General features: G+C 55.9%; 1 protein-coding gene and 1 long non-coding RNA gene across 5 annotated transcripts in view, besides 4 other annotated features; one reads left to right on the forward strand and one right to left on the reverse strand.

Annotated features, from left to right (window-relative positions):
* Nucleotides 1–15,754, reverse strand: part of PEPD (peptidase D) — a 134,842-nt gene extending 119,088 nt beyond the window's left edge. For 2 of the 3 annotated variants that reach the window (NM_001166056.2, NM_000285.4), the window contains exons 1-3: nucleotides 15,707–15,754; nucleotides 6,556–6,739; nucleotides 4,991–5,118 (exon numbers count right to left, since the gene is read on the reverse strand). In NM_001166056.2, coding sequence (NP_001159528.1) covers nucleotides 4,991–5,118; nucleotides 6,556–6,739; nucleotides 15,707–15,723 — 329 coding nt within the window. In that variant the 5' untranslated portion in view covers nucleotides 15,724–15,754. The remainder of the gene's footprint in view (nucleotides 1–4,990; nucleotides 5,119–6,555; nucleotides 6,740–15,706) is intronic. The other variant, NM_001166057.2, reaches the window with a different exon arrangement.
* Nucleotides 4,241–5,039: an enhancer, noted in NCBI's record as "OCT4-H3K4me1 hESC enhancer chr19:34001184-34001982 (GRCh37/hg19 assembly coordinates)". NCBI's record gives its function as "activates a minimal SCP1, AML or CMV promoter by ChIP-STARR-seq in naive H9 embryonic stem cells {active_cell/tissue: H9 hESC(naive)}" and the evidence as "EXISTENCE:reporter gene assay evidence [ECO:0000049][PMID:30033119]".
* Nucleotides 15,055–16,018: an enhancer, noted in NCBI's record as "H3K27ac-H3K4me1 hESC enhancer chr19:34011998-34012961 (GRCh37/hg19 assembly coordinates)". NCBI's record gives its function as "activates a minimal SCP1, AML or CMV promoter by ChIP-STARR-seq in primed H9 embryonic stem cells {active_cell/tissue: H9 hESC(primed)}" and the evidence as "EXISTENCE:reporter gene assay evidence [ECO:0000049][PMID:30033119]".
* Nucleotides 15,764–15,963: a silencer, noted in NCBI's record as "silent region_10498". NCBI's record gives its function as "represses an Ori minimal core promoter by ATAC-STARR-seq in GM12878 lymphoblastoid cells {active_cell/tissue: GM12878}" and the evidence as "EXISTENCE:reporter gene assay evidence [ECO:0000049][PMID:35858748]".
* On the forward strand, nucleotides 15,897–19,740 carry LOC105372370 (uncharacterized). Of its 2 annotated transcripts, none has more exons than XR_935918.3 (3): nucleotides 15,897–15,977; nucleotides 17,384–17,459; nucleotides 19,362–19,740. It is a non-coding gene; the product is annotated as an uncharacterized LOC105372370 (long non-coding RNA). The 2 variants fall into 2 exon arrangements; XR_935919.2 differs by having other exon boundaries at nucleotides 15,910–15,981.
* Nucleotides 16,019–16,981: an enhancer, noted in NCBI's record as "H3K27ac-H3K4me1 hESC enhancer chr19:34012962-34013924 (GRCh37/hg19 assembly coordinates)". NCBI's record gives its function as "activates a minimal SCP1, AML or CMV promoter by ChIP-STARR-seq in primed H9 embryonic stem cells {active_cell/tissue: H9 hESC(primed)}" and the evidence as "EXISTENCE:reporter gene assay evidence [ECO:0000049][PMID:30033119]".

Here is a 20,423-nt window from a genome sequence, read left to right on the forward strand (position 1 = left end):
CACAGCACACTCCCACCCACCACACCCCCATCGCAAACACCTTACACACCCCTCAGACACCCACACACACCCTCATTACACCCTACACACACATCCACACACAACACAGCACATTCACACCCACCACACCCTACACAACACTCACACACCCACACACTCTCATCACAAACACCCTACACACTACACACACACCCACACACAAGACAGCACACTCACACCCACTACACCCCATCACAAAAACCCTACACACTACTCACACACCCACTCTCATCACACCCTACACACTACACACACACCCACACACAACACAGGACACTCACACCCACCACACCCCATCACAAACACCTTACACACCACTCACACACACACCCTCATCACACCCTACACACTACACACACCCACACACAACACACTCACACCCACCACACCCCATCACAAACACCCTACACAACACACACCCACACACACCCATACACACCCTCACATGCACCCTACACACCACACACACAGCACACACACACTTCCATCACAACCTACACACCACACACACTCCCATCACAAACACCCTACACACCACACATGCCCACTCACAACACAGCACACACATGCCCACACACACTCCCTCACATGCACCCTACACACCTCACACACCCACACACAACACAGCACACACACACTCCCATCACAACCTACATACCACACACCACACACACACCCATCACAAAAAACCTACACACCACACACACACCCCATCACAAACACCCTACACACCACACACACAAAACACAGCACACGCACACCCACATTCACCCCTCCTCATAAACACCCTACACACCACACACCCCCATCACAAACACCCTACACACCACAAACACAGCACATGCCCCCCCCACACAACATACTCTACATGCATCACACACCCCCAACATATGTCCTCTCCACATCACATCCATACGTACCCACCCCTCCACATGCACCACACCACACACAGGTGTGCACTCCATATGCACACACAGCCCCCCACACATACACCATGCATGTGCAAACCCTCCCACCATACCCGCATCCATCTCTCACACAAGATGTGGGTATGGCCCTGGGAAGGCTGAGCGCCCCTCCCTGCATACCCAGAGCCGGGGACGGAATGCGTTACAAAGGTTCCAGGAGGGTCCCCCGACCTGGTCAAACTGGCTCCCCAACTCTGGGCTCCGAAGCTGCCTGGGGCGCTGACTCACAGAGGCCCACAGCCAAAGCCACCCTCCACTAAGCCCAACTCCGATGAAAAATGATGGGAAATGCTCTCACATCAAAAAGACACCACACACTATTGTTAGCAGAGACTCTGAATAAAAATGCATTCAGAGCTACCACCCTCCCCATCCCAGAACAGGCCTGGGGTGAGGAGTGGGCCGGCTTCAGGCTGCCCACGGCCCCTGGCGTCTGCAACCCTGACAACAGCAAGACCGTTTCCACAGGAAGCGGCAGATCCTGCAGACGGGGGTGTCGTTTCCCTGGGCGACTTTGGATTGCAGTATCTGCCAGATGGATTTTCAAAAACCATCAGATAGGGACTCAAAAGGAAGCTGAGGAGCTGAAGGTCAAATGTGAAGTCTGGTGGGTTTTGCTTGCAAAGGCCAGGTACTCCCGTCAGCCTCGCTCCTGGTGCCCTATTGATTCCAGGAGCGGCTGGAAGCAGCCATACGCAATCAGATCTGGCCACTCCCCAGCTCCAGTCCCACATAGTCAACCCCGCCACCACTGCTCTGTTACAACTGAGCCTTCTCTCCTGAGGGCTCAGGATGTGGAGACTCAGACAGGGTCACTCCAGGACAGTGGAACGGAGAGGCCTGCTCGGGGTGGCTGTGGTAGGGAGCCAGGACAGCAGGACACAAGGCTCTACCTCTCAGCTATGGGGCCAGATGCCCCCTCGGGACCAAGGCTGCCTGATCTGACCTGCCCAGCATGTACACAGCCTTTTCCAACAGGGGAGACCCCTGTTGGAAACCCCTGGAAACCCCAGGTGGGGCCCTGTTTAGCCCCTGATCAGACCCTCCCTGAAGCTGTTTCTCCTTCTCTGTCCATCCCCACATCTCACAGAGGAGGCATCCGACCTGACTGCTGAGCTACTTCTCTGAGCAGTGGGACATGTCAACAGGCTCTGAGCCAGCAGTGAGGGCCATGAGGAGGCGAGAGGGCAGCCAGGTCAAAACTGCAGGTGTCACCCGGAGCCAAGGGTACCCTGGCACAGGGGCCCTCGCTCGTCCTGAGTCGTGCCCCTTGCAAGAAAGGCTGAGGCCACAACTCTGCTCTGGGTAGAGAGGGGATGCTGGGAGAATCCTCCTGCAGAAAGCAGACCTAAACTCTTCGTCACTGCTGTCCCAGTTACAACGGCTGGGGAATAAACGACTCCAACACTTAGTGGAGTGCAAAACCACCAATCATGTTCATGGACTCTGAAGGTCGGGAATTTGGACCGAGCCCCGAGAGGACAGCAAAGCTCTGCTCCACATCTAGGACCTCAGCAGATGGAAGGCTGGGCCTCATGCACGCTGGCGGCTGGTGCTGCTGGCGGCTGGGGTCCCCCTATGGGGAGTCTGCGCTTCCTCATGATGTGGCGGCTGGGTTCCCAGGGCAAGTACCCCATGGGAGAGAACCAGGTGGAAGCCACAGTGCAGTTTACAGTCTAGCCTCAGACGTCACACAGCAACACTGCCACATCCGTCATGAGGCCCAGACCTGGGACAGGCAGAAGGGAAATAGATGTCACCTGCAGACAGCGAGTGTCCAGAAACACTGCTGTGGCCATTTTTGGACAAGACAATCTGCCTCCTGGAACCATCCCTGCCTCATGTCAGTGTCAGAGATACAGTGGCCAGCACTGTAACTCCAGTCCTGGGGGGCCTCCAGAGCAGCATCACAGAGAAGGAACTGGAGCCCCAAACATGACCAGACCCACTTGCAAGCCCCACGGCCTCTCAGAAGCCACACTTAGCCAGCAGGCAAGCTCAGCCTCCAATTGCAGCTCCAGCAAGACCTGGCTGCAGGACCTGCACAGGTCACACCAGCACGCTGAGCCATCTCCTCTTTTGTAACAGGGCAGTCATAAGGATTCCACCGGGAATGGGATAAAGGTCGACAATAAAGATCACGACAGGATGGGAAGGCATTGTCAGGCCAGGGCCTCCGAGGGGCAGCCCGGCAGAAGCCCCAAAGGCAGTTGGCCCGGGTGTGTCCACTCCGTGCCCTTCTTCCCAGGGGCCGAGCCAGGAGACCACCCCCAGGAGAAACAGTCCCCTTTTCTTCTGCTGCCAATTGTGCTCCAGGCTGAGTCCTGCCCAGCAAAGATCCCAGTCTTGCCAGGCTGGGATCCTGCCAAGTGGCCTAAGAGCAGAATGATTACCAACTTGTAAGCCTGAACCCCTCTCCCTGAGACAGCAGGAGCAGCACACACCATGGCCAACGAAGGCAGAAACGGAGTCTGCACTGAAGGGAGGGTAGCACTGGAAGCAGGGGAAGCTCCACTGTGGCCCCAGTCCTCAGCAGAGAGCCCAGTCCCTGTGGCAGCCAGGGGCCTTGTCACTCAAACCAGCCACAGCCTCTGCAGCCCACCTGGTAATGAGCATTCTGGGGCACCAGGCAGCAAAGGCTGCAATTTATACATTAGCCCAGAATAATCACTCTCCAGGCGGAGATGACACGCAGTGAGGCAGCCAGCATTTAGCGGGATCCTCTGATCACCTCAAACCTCCCTGGTTAAGTACAGTGTCCGCCCTGGCACCACTGAGCAGGCAGAACAGCTCCTCGGCGGTGGGGAGTACCTGGAACAGCAGGCACCATGGAGGGTGGAGGAGGGTGCCCAGCAGCCCGAGCCTCTGCTCTATCTCACAGGTGAGCCGGGAGGGCAGGACCTGCGCTGCGTCCAGAGGAAGGCAGCAAATAACACACCCAGCATATCAGCGATGGGCCTCAGAGAGGCGGTTCCCCGATCCAAACCCAACCCACCACCCTCAGGCACGCACAGGGCCATGCCACACCTGTCGATGCCATGCAGGAGTGACGGCCTCGCAGGGCCAAACCCTCAGGCATTTTCACAGACGGAGAAGCTAGAATTTCAGGATTAACAAACTGCACTTCTAAACAAACAAGGCCCCCAGTTGACAGGGCTCTGATGAGTGGAGGAACACCAGGGTTCTTGGTCTCGAGTTGAATTAGAGAAAACGACATGGACACACGTGGAGTGGTTTTAAGGAGCGGAGAGTTTAATAGGCAAGAAGGAAGGGAGAAGACAGAAGGAAGAAGCTCCTCCATATGGAGACAGAGGGAGGGGGGCTCCAAAGCCAAAAGAGGAGGTCCCCAAGTGCAGTGGACACCAGCCAAGTATATATGCAGAGGCTGGAAGGGGCGATGTCTGATTTACATAGGGCTCAGGGGATTGGTTTGACCACGCATGTTATTCACATAGCCCACTAAAAAGCTGGCTCTCCCACCCTAGTCTTTTAATATGCAAATGCAGGGAGCCATGGATGTTCTACACATGTGGGGATATTTGGGGATGTTCTACACATGTGGGGCGGCCATGTTGCCAGGAACATGTGAGGCAAGGGTAAGAAGGCCTTGGGAATTGCCATGTTGGGTGGACCCAGTTTCTAATGGCCTGCATTTGCATATCAAAGGTTGCCGGCCTGGCTCTAGGAGCTGGGGCTTTACCAGAAAACTTCCCAAGGACCCCTTTTCCTCTCTATCTACCTAAAACAATTTCTCAATAACTCCTACCACACAGTCATACTCCAGCTCTAACATCCCTTCCCAGCCAAGGGTGCAGGGCTCTGGCGAGAGGCAGGCTGTGACAGCCCTGACCGCATGCCCTTCCTCCTGCAGCTCTTCCCTCCTCCCCGTCCCCAGGCCCAACCCAGCTCTCTCATCCCACCTCCCCTACCCACCCCCAGCCCATGGTTGGTAGCCATGGTGCCCTGGCCAGGCTGCTCCTTACTTTCCCATCCAGGTGGCATGGCTGGCAGGAAGCCTGGGCACAAACAGGGTCGACTTCCCAGTGTCAACATCGATGACACCATAGCAGCCTGGCTCAGTGACACCGAACGCCCAGTGAAAGAAGGACTCCTGTGGCGGGAACAAGAACTATTGTTAGCCAGTGGAACATGAGGTGCAAGGAGGGACCGGTGGCTGCATCACAGCACCCTAGAGAGCCAGCTCAGACCGACAGCCTCCTGTAACTGACCCCAGCCCCAGACATCCCTTCCCCTCAGCACTCGACTCCCCAGCTCATCCTCCCGTAGTTTGGCAGGGGGCAGCCTGGCAGCTCCTCTACCCTGCTGGGAGCCCTCCCTGATGCTGTGTCAGGCATGTGCCTGAGTCCACCTGTATCCCCACCCCCGGGCCCACAACAGGGCGTCCAGCAGCACCACACGTCCAGCTCAACCCTGCCTCTCTGCCACGTGCAGGCAGGCAAGACGCCCCCCGGATTCTGACGCCCAGGCCGGATATCTGCACAGAAATGGATTCCTCCATTTAAGACTTCTTACTTCCCTCTCCCACCCCCGGGACGGCTGATGACTTCAGTGTTTAGGGATGAATGCTGCGCTAAAAGGACGTCATAAAGGTATGGTGGAGGAGGATCTCTTCCAAAATTAGCCTTGCATACCATCAGAAAGGGAGCCAACAGCTGAATTTAGGAAATCGGTTTTTAAGCCGCAGAGTATTTAAACCTGGAGAAGCATCAAGACTAGCCAGAGAAAACTTATTTAGACCTCCATGTTTCTCACAGCCATGGGATTGCAGGCTTGCAGCTGCGCGAACAATGGAGTGGAGAGACGGGACCCTTCAGGCAGGAGGTGCTTTTAGTAAAGAAAAAACACAGTCTGCGGTCGCTCAGCAATGGGTCTCAGCCCATCTGTGGCCTGCTGGGGCGACAGGGTCCAGCTAGGGAAGCCACGCCTTCCCATATCCTCTCCACACTCAGCTCCCCTTCGCATTCCCATCTCTCCTCTTGCCAGGATGCTGCATGGACACATTCCCTAGGCTCTGCCTGCCCCAGAGAGGTTCTGAAGTTCCTGCTGTGGTCAGGCTCCAGCTCTGGGCATGGCAGCGGGGAGAAAACAGCACTAGATTTAGAGTTGGAAGACAAAGTTCTAATCCCAGCTCCACCTCTTGGCAAGTCATTTCCCCTCTGAGCCTCAGTTTTCTCATCTGCAAAATGGGTATAATGCTAAGATGTGTGAAAGTGGGCCCAGCTCAGAGCCTCACAGTCTTCCTGGGTGGGTGTCCTCATGTTCCTGTGCCTGGGGACTGAGTGCTGCCAGTGACTCTCAGCCATGGCCACCATGGCCAGGCTGGTTTCCTGCAGCTGGGCCACCCGCTGCCCCACATCTTCAAGTTCTACATCTTCAAGGAGCCCCTGGACCACTTCCCAGGCGAGGAAACAGAGGCTCAGGGAGGGCCACAAGGGGCAGCACTGGCCAAGCTGGGGCCTCCAACTCCTGCTCAGGACAGCAGCACCATCACACACCTGCTCACTTGTGGCCAAGCGGGGAGGCTCACCTGGCGGAAGAGGACCCCGGTGTCGGTGCAGTAGCGCTGAGTCTCCTCCCCGCCCTGCAGGACCACGATGGAGCCGGCCTGCACAGCAGGGTTCTTCCGCAGCCGCTCACACAGGCGCTGCCGGTTCAAGGCAAAGAGCGCCAGCGGCACCTTCAGGGTTTCATTCCCCAGCCAAAACGAGGGTCTGCAGAGGCAAGAGCACACACCGCCACACAGGCCTCTGTTAGCATCTCCAAGCATGCCCACACCTGAGGTCGGGGTGACCGGAGGCCCGAGCCTGCCGTGGGACCCCCATCAGCACGGGGCAAGCTGCCCAAGCTCCACCTACTTATGACCCAGAAACAGCCCCTCACTGATCCCCCTGAGGACCACAGGGGCTTGTCTCCCCTCCACCACCCATGCTGTCCTGACTCCACCCCCCTGCTCCTCTGCCCCCCAACCAACTGCACAGCAGGCCACAGTGACCCCACGCTCCCGAATCTGCAGCAGGTCCCCAGTCCTCACTGGCCACTTGGTGCCCATGACCCTGGGGGCCACTCTCTCTGCGGAAACCTTCTCCAACAGCAGCCGGTCCAGGCTCCCTACCAGGCAGGCCCCTGGCTCCCGGCTCAACCTCCCTGCTAGAGGCCAGCTTGGCCCAACCCTGGGGCCTCTTCCCTAACTGGCTCCCTCCCTCAGCTCAGCTGAGCTTACCCAGTCCTTCAGCTCAAAGGACCATCTGCATCTGCAGACTGATGATGTCCAGCTCCAGACTCACAGACCCATCAGCCACCCTCAGCAGGCAGAAGATGCACCTGAACCAAAGTCGCTCCTCCCCAGCCTCCCCCGACACAAAGCACCTGCACCTGGACAGTCCCAAAGGCCATCCTGGCCTCCTATCTCATCCCACCTCCTGGCCACCAGCAAGGTCTACCCTCATTGCACATCCCCATCCCCAGGGCCACCTCCCCATGTCCCGTCTGGACAACTGCAGGCAACTCTCAACGGTGCTCTTGGCCGCAACTTCCCCGTGGCCTGGTCTGCACCTTCTGCCAGAAGGGCCCTTTCAAAATGCCAATCCCAGCACACACTCCCTGCCCAACCCCGTGCCAGCTGGCTTCTCTGAGTGCAGACTTCACTCCCCAGCCACAAGGGATCCAGACCCCCAGTTCACCCTTGGCTTCCTCTACTGTGGCACGGGCATCCTCGCTCTTCCCTAAACCCCCAGAACACTCCAGCCTTTGCCGCTGCGGCGCCCTGTGGGGAATGCTCTTCCCAAGGGCATCCCATGCCCTTTTACCCAGCCTCTGCAGAAATGCCCCTTTCCTACCCACCCCAGCCTCTGCAGAAATGCCCCTTTCCTACCCACCCCATCCCCCAGCTCTCTTCGTGTCTCTCTAGAGCCCCCATCACTCTTCATTTATTTGTTTGCTGGCCCTCCAGGTAACATGTAAGCTCCCTGAGGGCAGGGACAGAGCAGGTGTCGGTATCTATGGAATGAATGAAAAAACGGATGGTGGTCCCAGCAAGCAGGCTGGAGGCCGGGTGTGGAGAGATAATGGGGATGAGGTGGAGGAGGAGTAAGCAGGGGCAGGGTGTGCAGGAGGGAGCCCCTGCGGCTCTCCAGCCAGGGGGCAGTGGGTGGGCACGGAGGTCAAGGAGGCAGGGACATCCCAGAGCTGGTGCGAGCAGAGAGCTCTGCCTGGGGACTGCAGTGAAGCTGTGGATGAAACCTGCCCTCACAGCACAGCACGGTGAAGTGGTCTGGGGCACCTCACACTCACCTCACATGGGACCCTCAGAGGCCCTGACCCTCCTGCCAGGGTCACATGAGCAGGTCACACCTCCTGCACATCTTGGCTCCAATACGACCTTTTCCGGATGGTCTTCCCCGGCCTCCCTCTTTGAACCTGCAGCTCTTCTCCTTGCCCAATCCCCTACTAGTCCCTGGCCTGAGGTTTCCCCACTTGCCCTCCAGATACACCCCCCTGCACTGTGCCCAGAGGCCAACCTACCCGACCTCCTCAGCATGCACGCTGCCTCCTGTCTCCAGGCGCACTGAGCCAACGACAGGCACATGAGGCTGGGGTCAGGAGGAGAGGGAGGAAGACAGTGGATCCACTCCCCTGGCTCCCTCCCTGGGGACCCTGGAACTAAATGGCTGGGGGCACCCCTCCATCCAGGGCCGCTGCTCTGATGACAGCGCCCTGCCCCACAGCACAGCCCCTGCTGGGTTTCTGACCAGGTTCCCCACTCTTCTTTCCACTGTCTTCCTCCCTCTCCTCCTGCCCCTAGCCTCATGTGCCTGCCTTCCCTTAACGTTCGCACAGCTCTGTGTATCGTCCCCTCTCTCAACTCTCCTTAGTGGCCCCCTGGAGTAAACTCCTAACGTGGGGCCAGGTCCCTGGCTAACACAACACTTAGCACACAGCACCTTCCAACCTAAACGCAGCGGGTGCTGCCTGGTGCTTCCTGGTGTTCTCCGGCCCGCCGCCTCGGGTGGAAACACTGGGAGATGGAGCTCCAGGTTGCCTCGGTCACTGCCGTGCCCTCGCCTGGTGCCTTGCCTGACACACAGCAAACGCTCAACACATATCTGCTGAATGACACACGGGGCCACACACACAGCTGTGGGATGAGAAGATGCCACATCAGCCGCAGCAGGGCAGGAAGCAGCCCTGGAGTCCCAGCCTGCCCAGGAAGGGTGGAGGGTCAGAAGCAGCCGCACATGCTGACATGACTAGAGCCCCGCCCGCTCCCCCACGTGCCCTTCCTACCCTCCCAGGAGGGTGAGCAGGTGGCTGGGTGGACACCAGCGGCCAGAGCTTCCTCTGGGCTGGGGCTGCTTTTCTGCCACGCTCAGCCATTGGGATGAAAGGGCAGAGGGAAGTCGGTGAGAGTTCGTAAACATGACCACATCCCAGATGGCCATGCTGTCAGGAGCTAAAAGTGCAGTCACCAGCACCTTGTGCTCGGATATCCCCCATGGCCTCCCACGCCCTTTCCCTTCACTCAGGAAAGCCCATGGTGGGATGGGCACAGAGGCAAAACTCGTCTCTGCAGAATCCCCAACAGCTTAGGGGCAATGACACCGAGACCCTGCTATGGACAGCCTCAGCCACAGTCGTCGAATAGCATGACCGGCCGAAAATGCCCATCCTCAGCCACCAGCCTGCATAGCCCAGCCCAGCCCACCTCTCCCACACTCCCCTCTCCCTGCCTGGCCACACTCCTTAATCATAACAGGTGCTGGCTCCCCATGGCCTGACACCATGCCCCCACCTGTAATGCTCACAGAAGGGCTGGCCTTCCCCTTGTTCAGAACCTTCTGAGAGACAAATTTCTCAGGGCACCCAGACTGGGATCCCAAGGGCTGAGCAGAAAACTTGATAAGCCACCTTCTCCTTGAACACTCAGCTGCCACTGCAAAGAAAATCTACAACCATGCTTATTTCTCCATGGGGCTCCGCCAGAACAGAACCCACCCTGTGCAGGGCTCTGAGCATAAGAAGGGCTAGCCTGAGCCACGAGGCAAGGCAATATGCTACAGTCATTAATTACAGGACACCAAGTAATAAAGTTTTATAGAGACATGCCCTTTGATTTCCCATGGCATAAACCAAGCCCCCAGAGAGACTGTCAGGCTCAGAGTCAACACAGACGAATTCTTCCTGCAAATTCGGCAAATGTAGCACCAACAAAACATCTCTAACAGGTTTCTGCTGCAGCTTTTGTTAACTGGCACCCAGAATTTAAAAGGCAAAAGCCATTATCATCCCCAGGTCCCAGGGTAAATAAGCCATGCTTTGCTGCAGACAGACAAGGCACAAGAGCTCCAGGGCCTCAGAGACCCACAGAACAAGTCTCTGAGCCCCAGAGGCCAGGACCCCCGCTGCCCTGGAAACAACCAAGACCCAGTAAGCAGCCCAGGACCAAGAACGGAGTGACCAAGACTGAGGCCAGTCCTCAAGGAGGGTATGATGCCACTGCCCCCACAAGCCGTCTCTGTCTCCACACAACCCACACCCCCGTATCAGTACTGGGACACCCTCTCCTCAACAGCCACGTGCAGGGCTCTTACCTAAGGCCTAGGGACCCCCAAGGATTCATCCTCAAATTCAGGGGCTCCATCTACTAGATGGGAAAAAGCTGTACCTTTATTTTCTCTAACCTCCAATTCGAATTTACATTTTCTTCAGTTATTAACATAAGCAACAAACTACTCAGTGTCAGCAATGCATGTTAATCTGTCACCAACAAAAATCAAAGGTATTTTAATACCATGTTATTGCTCTTCCAGTATCTCAAAATATCACTTTTGCTCCCCACAACTTCAAAGTTAAAGTAGTTGGGCCAGGCGCAGTGGCTCATGCCTATCATCCCAGCACTGCGGGAGGCAGGAATTCGAGACCAGAATGGGCAACATGGCAAAACCCCCATCTCTACCGAAAACACAAAAATTAGTCAGGAATGGTGGCTTGTGCATGTGGTCCCAGCTACCCGGGAGGCTAAGGCAGGAGGAACGCTTGAGCACTGGAGGCGGAGACTACAGTGAGCTGAGATCGCAACACTACACTCCAGCCTGGGGGACAGGGCGAGACCCTGTCTCAAATTTATGTAACATTTTGATACCTGTATTTCCATATAATTGGGTTTTACTTTTGTAATATTATGTACTTATTTCATACATTTAAAAACATTATGCCAGCCAGGTGTGGTGGCTCATGCCTATAATCCCAACATTTTAGGAGGCCGACATGGGCAGATCACCTGAGGTCAGGAGTTCGATACCACCTGGCCAACATGGTGAGCCCCTGTGTCTACTAAAAATACAAAAATTAGCTGGGCATAGTGGCACACACCTATAATCCCAGCCACTCGGGAGGCTGAGGCAGGAAAATCACTTGAATCTGGGAGGCGGAGGTTGCAGTGAGCCAAGATCAAGCCACCGCACTCCAGCCTGGGTGAAAGAGCAAGACTCCGTTTCAAAAAAAACAAAAAACAAAAAACAAAAAAAAACCTGATGCCGAGAATGGTACGTAGGTTTCACTGATGCCCGTGGGGTCTACCGCACAGACAAGGAAAGATCTCTGCACTAGAATGTGGAGCCACTGGCCAGGTGCGGTGGCTCACGCCTGTAATACCAGCACTTGGGGAGGCTGAAGTGGGTGGGTCACGAGGTCAGGAGTTTGAGACCAGCCTGGCCAACATAATGAAACCCCATCCCTATTAAAAATACAAAAAAATTAGCCAGGCATGGTAGTGGGCACCTGTAATCCCAGCTACTCGGGAGGCTGAGGCAGGAGAACCACTTGAACCCGGGAGGCGGAGGTTGCAGTGAGCCGAGATCGCGCCATTGCACTCCAGTGTGAGACTCCCTCTCAAAAAAAAAAAAAAAATGAAATGTGGAGCCACTTCTAGACAGGGTCACACCGCTAAGTTCCCAGTAGGAGAGGCCAGCCAAGGACCAGCCACCTCCTCCCCTCAGCCTCCAGCGTGGGGCCAGGCACCAGACAGATGCTCAGGCAGCCCACTGGGCACCAGACCGTAAGCGCCAGGCTGGAGAGGGTTGCCACGGCGGAACAGGACCTCGAGGCAACTGGCCAGCAACCTCCACCTTGCACCTCTGTCTCCTGGGGCGGATAGGGGTGCCAAGCATACACAGAAACCAAGAGACAGCTGTGTGGAGTCAGGACCTGGGGAAGAGCCAGGGAAGGCACAGGGATACTCAGTGGCCAGCCTGCCTCCCATAGGCCCACCCGTCCCTAGCCCCCAGTCGGCCTGAGTCTTCTGCTCCTGGAGCACAAGGTTCACATTGTGGGGTTGGGCTCTTGACCCAGAATGTGAATTCTGCAGAAGACTCTCCAGAAGAATGCTGACTCCAGTGTAACCTACGGCTCAACAGGGGTACACGTCCAGGGCAGTTCACCTTTGCCTCTTTTTGGCTCTGCAACAGCTCCTGGGAGCCACTCAGTTAAAGAATTAAGGCTATTTCTTCATCCTACCCCTCGGAATTCTGTCCCCATTCCCCACCATGACTCCTTCCCTCAATCACTGGGAGTCTCCCAGGAAAGCAGGATGGGATGCTGGACTAATTTAGAGTAAATCCCCTTTTCATTCATTTCACCAAGCACCAATCACAGGGCAGCCACAGACTGGCCCTGCGGATACAAAAGAACCCCAGGGGTTCTAAGGATGCTAGGAGAGGCATGAAGGGAAGCAACTCCTAACCCACAATGGGCAGACGTGTAAAAGTGTACTGCTGGGGAGAAAACTGAGTGTTCTGGAGTTCTGAGCACTAAACCTTTACCCGAGGGCTGGGAAAGGCTTCTGGGAAAGGGAACCATCTGAGCTGGGCCTGCAAATACGTGAAGAATCATATAGAGGACAAGAACATTCCAGGGCTAGTTGGGTGAGTGTGCAAGGGAAGAAGGGAATGGAAAAAGCCATGTGGGAGAGCAGATGCAGACAGGTCTGGCTGGAGCTGACAGATTTCAAATTATCAATCCTGTCTGTGGAAAGCTCAAAGCATTGCTTAAGGAGACAGCAGCAGTGCCACCAAGTGCCATGGGATAGGGACCCCTCTCCATGAGGGGATGGGAGGTGACCTCAGCGCACTCTGTCTCAACCTGAAGCCTACACCCAGGCTAGCAAGAGAAAGTAGGATCAACCCTGAAACACCCCACATCTTAAAAAGAGAGATGCATTCAGAGTAGATTCTTGAGTTTCAAATTAAATCTGAGATGCTAGTTTAGGGCTTCCCCTACTCCCCAAATCATATGGGGCACACCCCAGTCACCTGGAACTCTCATGGACCCCCTCTGTCCCAGGCTCTGGTAGGATTCTACAGACAACCAAACCCAACTCCCAGTGAGCCCACGGCAATGGCCGTGACTTGCTGGCATCATGCCTCGTTATGCCTGACTCTATGATCTGTTCTGTGAGTGTGGCTAGGAGCTGAGCTTTGCGGGAAACACACTTAATCATTCTGCTCTAAAGGAAGCCACTGGGGTCAACCTCAGGCTCAAAGTACATGGGAAAGCCCCATACCAGACTGGGATGGCTCTTCCCAAGGAGACTGCCAGGCTCTGGAAGCTCCCACACCCTCTCAATAGCAGACCTCTCTAAGACCTGCCACTCTGTTTTGCCTCCCTCACCCACCCTGTGTGGTGGCCCAGAGAATCGGTTCTGCTAGAAAAGCTCTCATTCTGGGGCCAGGCGTGGTGGCTCACACCTGTAATCCTAGCACTTTGGGAGGCGGAGGCGGGTGGATCACCTGAGGTCAGGAGTTCGAGACCAGTCTGGCCAACATGGTGAAACCCCATCTCCACTAAAAATACAAAAAATTAGCTGAGTGTGGTGGCACACGCCTGTAATTCCAGCTACTCAGGAGGCTGAGGCAGAAGACTCGCTTGAACCTGGGAGGTGGAGGTTGCAGTGAGCCATCATGCCATTGCACTCCAGACTGGGCAACAAGAGCAAAACTACGTCTCAAAAAAAAAAAAAGAAAGAGAAAAAGAAAAGCTCTCATTCCAGGATCCAGTCAGTTCCAGACTTGCTCCCGTCCAGACATCAGCTTGGTTCCTTCAGGAGAGCAGCAGGTCTCAGGCCAGCTTGGAATCCTGAACCCAAATGCAACCCCTGGCACTCCCTGTGAGCACCGAGCCAGCCTAACCAGAGAGACAGCACACCCACAGCTGGGCACCAGCCTGCTCAGTCTACCCTTTAAAAGGGTCACAGGCTGGATTCAAGGATCTGACCCTGAGTTCCTTGACACCCATCTGAGACTTTGTCTGCACTGTTCTCTACCTGAAGGGAGTCTCATTGCTGAAGGACTAGCACAAAAGTCACCCAGGAAGTGAAGCCTTCCCACACTTTATCTGAGCTCAGAGTCCATGCCCCTCCTTTGCAAATGGCAAGACCACACGGCAAGCAGATGGATGACAGAGTCCCATGTGTCCATCTGTTCCAGTGGCCTGTGAGTACCTTAAGGGAAGACCCACTGCTATTCCTGGAATATAGCAGGTGCCCACAAAATATTTGATTTGTATGCTCTAAGCTCCCTCAACCTTGGGGGCCAACTTAGAACCCACTTTCTGTTGCCATTTTCCCTGTATCTTAAAAAGAGAGATGCATTCAGTCCACTAGATCCCCCATTCTGACCTCAGTTTCCAACCTGGCATCTGGAATACTGCTCCCTCCTACACCATGCCCCCTCTACCCCACTGTACCACCAGACCCACACCTTCTCCCATTGAACTCACACATAGCTCAGGGGAGCCTAATCTTTAAAAAACAGATCAAGCAGCTTGTAACAAAACCCTTCCAGCCCATCAGGGCAAAGTCTGAAGCCGCCACCTGGAACACCACACCTTCCAACCAGCCCCAGGCATGCACCCCTGTCCCCAGAACACTCTGAACTCTCAACCTTTGTCCCTTACCCTGGGCTCAGATGCTCCCTATCTGGGAGATTCCGCCCAACGCTCTGGTGAACCCATCTGTCCACCCTTCCTCCCACTACGACCACTCAGCTTTCTTTCATTTAGCCCAGTATGGAGCACCTACTGTGTGCAAGGCACCGGGCTACTGAGAAGCAGGTAACATACCTGCCCTTGCACTCTAAATGCAGAGAAGATAAAGAACAAGTACAAACAATGCTCTATATAGTTTATCAGGTGATGATGAGGGCACAAAAAGTGGGATAGATGGTTAGAGAAGGATTCCCTGAGGGGGTGACATTTGGCCCCTGAAAGAAATGGGGAAGTGCCCTGCTGGGAAAAGGGAATTCCAAGTCCGTCTCGAATACCGCCTCCTCCGGGAAGCGCCCGGGTCCCTGGGGTCCTCGCAACGCCGCCCTCCTACCCGGGGGTCTTGGCAGCGAACATGCGTGTCGACCCCAGCCCCCACCGCAGCCGCACACGGTGGGGCCGCCAGACGCGGGCAGGTGGGGCCGGAGCCAGCCAGGAGGGTGGAGAGGAGCTGCGGCCCCCGCGCTGACCCTGACTCGGAGCGTGCAGCTCGCCGACCGGCGCTGGGACTCCGGGCCAACGGGAAGAGGCGCCTACCCGCGGCATTCAGCGACCCCGGCTGACGCTCTCACCCGCGGTCCGGCCGGGACACCCATGCCCCTCTCCACGCCAGCGGGAAAGAGCGAGGGAGGCGCAGCACTCACCCGGTGGCCGCCGCCATGTTCGCCCGGCACCGGCGTCACGTGAAGTGCGGCGTCAGCTGAGCCCCTCCGGGTGCCAATGCATGGGGCGGGGTAAGGGCGGGGCAGGGGGCGGGGCATGGAGTCCTTGACCCACCTCCTCCAGAGCCAAATTCCACGGGACGGGAAGGGGCGGTACCTGGGGAAGGGCGGAGCCCCGATGGGGCGGGGCTCCCGGAGATTGGGGGCCCAAGAGCTCGGCCAGGATAAATGAGCGGGCTGCCGGCTGCAGACAGTAGGTCGGGTTAGCGGGCAGCATCTGCAGCCTTTTCGTGGTGGGAGGGAGGTCCTGAAGCAGAGGACATCTTGATTCTGGTTCAGTCCCCGATCTGGCGTACCAGCCCACCCGGGAGAAGAACACATAGGAATAAAGAAACCACGTGGGAGGAGAGGAGGGAGACTGACCCAGGCTAGGGTCGGGGCAGAGGTGGCGATTTTTGTTTAAGAAGGGAAAGGGCTTGAGCAAAGGCCGTGGGGCAACTGGAGGACTCTAAATGTGCAGCGTCCAGGAGAATGTGCGCGAGAGAGGGGCAGCCTAAGGGAAGCAAGGGCCAGACCCTGCGGGGCCTCCACTGTGGGGCCTATGAGTTAAGTCTGGTAGGATCTTTTCTAGGTTTCCTGGGCTGCAGAATGGAGAAGCTGGAGGAAGGGAAGCCAGGGAGGAGGGCAGGCGAGAAGTGGGCACAGCCGAGAAGGGTTTAGGAGGGAGAGTCTGCCAGAAGGCTTACTCCTCTGCCCCACTGGGCACTGGTACTGGGTGCAGAGTCCTGCAGAGAAGGTGTAGGGACCCTGCAGCAGACGCTGCCCTCCCTACTGCCAACAGAGTCAGGGCATTACAAGCACGGCCCAAATGCGTTGCACATGTGAGCTCATAGAAACCTCACCACAGCCCTATGAGGTCGAGACTATCTTTAAGTCTATTATACAGATGAGGAAACTGAGGCCAGAGAGTGCTCACACAGAGGCTGAGCTCATGAAGCCATACCCTGAGGAGTGACCTCACTGCCCCTGTGAAGGAAGGGGGCCCCACACTGTTGGGGGAGGGCGTCCCTGGCGCCAAGGGTGTACAGATGTGTGTGGTGTACAGATGTGTGTGGACAGGTGGATGGGTGGCCCAGGATAGGCGTGTGGGGCTCCTGACCCCACCCTGCAGCTGTCCCACAGCTGGAAGTGGCTTCTGATCAAAGGTTGTGGGTTGGGGGATGCTTCTTGTTTCTTTATCGAAACAAGGATGTGGGTCACCATGGCCAGGCTGGTGGGAGCCAGGGGCTATGACTGGAGAAGCAGCTTCTGTTTGTCCCCATGAAGCAGGGAGGAGAATAGGCCCCTTAAATAGGAGCAAGGGAGCCAGCCATAAGCAGGGTAGTGAAGGGCACGTGGCACAGTTACCTGGAAGCCCAGTACCATCCCTGCTGTCCTCATCTGTCAGGAGAGAGCTAATGGGGCCACCTCACAGGGCTGCTAGAGGGTTTTACACTCAAACCTGCAGGCACAGCCAGAGACCAAAGCTGCCAGGAGGAATGTGGCCCCTCCAGACAGCCCCTCCCACCTCCCGGTCCCAGATAAGGAAAACGAGAGCTAATGGAAGAGGGGGGGCCTCATCCCTTCTACCCCTTCCCACAACACATGGACAATTTGCAGGGGTCCCTGACCTCCAGGCAAGGTCCAAGAGGAGCTCTCTCCACCCTCTTGCCAGTTTCCAGGAAGAAGAACAGAGGTAAGGATTCACACCCCACTGCCTGGCCTAGGGGCCCCTGAGAACTTCTAACACCCCTAGTTAAGCAGTAGGTCCGCCTTCAGCTTAAGAAACTCAACTCCCTAGTAAGTGGCGCTTTAAAAAATACATAATAACAAAGGGTGAGCAGAATGAGCTTTCCATGCGCCTTCAAGGAAGGAAAACATACCCCCCAGCTCATTCATTGCACCTGCCTCCCACCATTTCTTTTGACATAAAATATGTCAAAATTAAGCCAGCTGCCAGCTCTGAGTGCTTACTAATATGAAAAAGAAGTCAATATCCCAAACACAAAATAATGGAAGGAAGGCACCCACCAACTGAGTGGAGCTCCCTTGTTTGTGGACAGTAATATGGAGGCACTGCCCATGACCCCTGCCCACCCAGGTCCCCTGCCCTCTCCCCTCCCCATCAGGGGCTCCGGCAGGGCTGCCCCTCACCCCTCACCCCTCCCCATCAGAGGCTGTGGCAGGGGCTCCAGAAGCCGCCCAGAATATGGGAGAAGACCATTTAGTTACTTATGCAGGGCAGACCCAGGACGTTGCTGGAGCCAGGAGGCAATTGGGGGAAGATTGATTTTAGAGAGTCGAAGTGGGAGTGTGTAAATCAGCCAAGGCAGCGCGCCAGGCAGCACTCTCATGCGGCATTGCCTCCGAGGTCACAGGCCCTTGTGGCCGAAACAGTCTCCTCTCGTCAAGCCCTGCAGGTGGCTGGTAGATGTCTGCACTCGGTCAGCCTGGTAGCCCGGTAGCCAGCATAGCATTATTCTCCAGAAGGGCCCCCCCAACTCCCGTCAGGCCTTGCAAAAGAAGCTTCACCCTGGGAAGACACCTCTTGTGTCCCGGGACACTGTGTCCAGCCAGGTTTCCCTCCTCCACCCATTCCCCACAATCTAGCCCCCACTCTTGCAACTCCGTGGACGCTGCTGACAGCTGGCTGCCTGGAGACGGCAGGCCCAGATGTGGCGGCCTGCTAGGCTCTGACTCATGAGCCACCCTTGGGCCATGAAGGGGAGGTCCCCGGGAAGAGCCCTGTCCATCTTCTGCTGTGGATTGAGGGCACTGGTCTACCAGAGGCTCTGTGGGACTGCACTGGAGGTAGCCTGGATGCTGGTTCTGCCCTGCACCACCCAGTTGTTGCCCACAGTGCCACTCCAGGACTGGCCATGCTGTGAGGGCCAGGGATCCAGACCCTGCCCTTGCCTAGAGGATCTTTGGTCTGGGGACAGAGGTAGAGGAGCCCTCCACACTGTCCCTGGGGAGTCCACCATCTGGGAGGGCCTCAGAACGGGGCTTCGAGGGTTCTGCTTTTGGCTAATGGGGAGATCCTGGGGGATTCTGAGCTGCAAGCTGCCGATCCAAACCCCTCTCTCCAGCAGGAGCTCAGGAGGATTAGCAGAGAGAACTGAAAAGAGCCAATAAGAGCCAATAAAGCCACTGCACGGGGCCGCCAGCCTCAGATGGTCAAAGCCCTACACAAGATGGCATTTGGGTGTTTTGCGATTGTTTGCTTTTGCTGAGAATAGAAGACTGGATGCAGAAAGCCAGCACCAAATAAACAGAAGAGGAAGAATAGAGGGGACTGTGGGTGTGAGATAGGGGCAGGGTGGCATATGGCAACCCAGTGTCTTCCCAAGTGGGAAAGCAAGGAGCGTGATGGGTGTGGAATGCCCAGGAGACCGTCTCTCTATCCTGGTTCTGGCAGATCCCAGCCTTGGGCCTTTGCAGGGCCTGCAGAGGTAGCCACAGCTCTCCCACTCCAAAGGCCTGTGTGGCCTGCTCCTTCCTCCAGGCCTACACCCCAGCTGTCACCACCATCCATCAACCCCCCTCCTCACAGGAGCCCCCACATCACGTTCTACTCCTCCTCTCCTTTCTCCCCCAGCCCAGCCCACCTGGGCATCTATCTTCCTGTAGAAAAGAGGCAGGCAGAGCTGAGGGGCCTTCCCAAGGAAGCCCCCATCACCGCCTCAGATGAAGTGGTCCCTGCTGAATGCTTTGCTGGGGTCTACGAGGCAATTCAAGATGAGAAATGGAACGGTGGCTTCGGAAAAGCAAATCATTCCAACAGCACCTGAAAACATCGAAGGAAACAAGCTCTTTTTGTGTGTGTGGAAATGGGGAATATATTGTTTCTCACTGTTTCGAAGACTGTTTTCCCATCTTGAAATCACAAGCTGTTTTCTTCCAGAGAGACTTATAAATACATCCAATTATCGACATTCAATATAAGAAATAAAGTTCTGAAATGGTTTTCTTCAGCACATGCAGAGTGAGCCGACCAGGTTGGGCAGGTGATAATTACTTTTATTTCTTACGAGTGGGTATCACCGCGGAGTGGCTAGAAGCTTCACCTTTTATTGCCTTCACCTTTTATTACATTTCCCACGTTGTGCAGGGCTATTCATTGGTAATTTTATTATCCCATATCAAGATCTTGATTAAAAAAAAGGATGAAATTTCTAATTTCAAAAGATATGAGTGCAAAGTCCCAGAGTAGGAGGATTTGGTCCTATACCTTGTGACCTGAAGAGTAACCCTCCAGGGGGATGGACTGTCCTTGTGCCCAGCTCCAAGTGACTGAATGTCACTGACTAGACAGTGGGTGTCTGCTGGCATTCACAATTGTTCCTTTTTTTTTTTAAATAGAGATGGGGCCTTGCTTTGTCACCCAGGCTGGAGTGCAGTAGTGTGATCATAGCTCACTGCAGCCTCAAACTCCTGGGCTCAAGCAATCCTCCCGCCTCAGCCTCCTGAGTAGCTAGGACTACAGGTGTGCCCCCCCAACGCCTAGTTAATTATTTTTAATTTTGTATGTTTTGTAGAGATGGGGTCTTACTATGTTACCCAGGCTTGTCTCAAACTTCTGGCCTCAAGGCATCCTCCTGCCTCAGTCTCCCAAAGCTCAGGATTGCAAGGCATGAGCCACTGAGCCTGGCCTCAACTG

This window comes from Homo sapiens, chromosome 19, assembly GCF_000001405.40.
Source record: "Homo sapiens chromosome 19, GRCh38.p14 Primary Assembly".
In the NCBI taxonomy this organism is placed as follows: domain Eukaryota; kingdom Metazoa; phylum Chordata; class Mammalia; order Primates; family Hominidae; genus Homo; species Homo sapiens.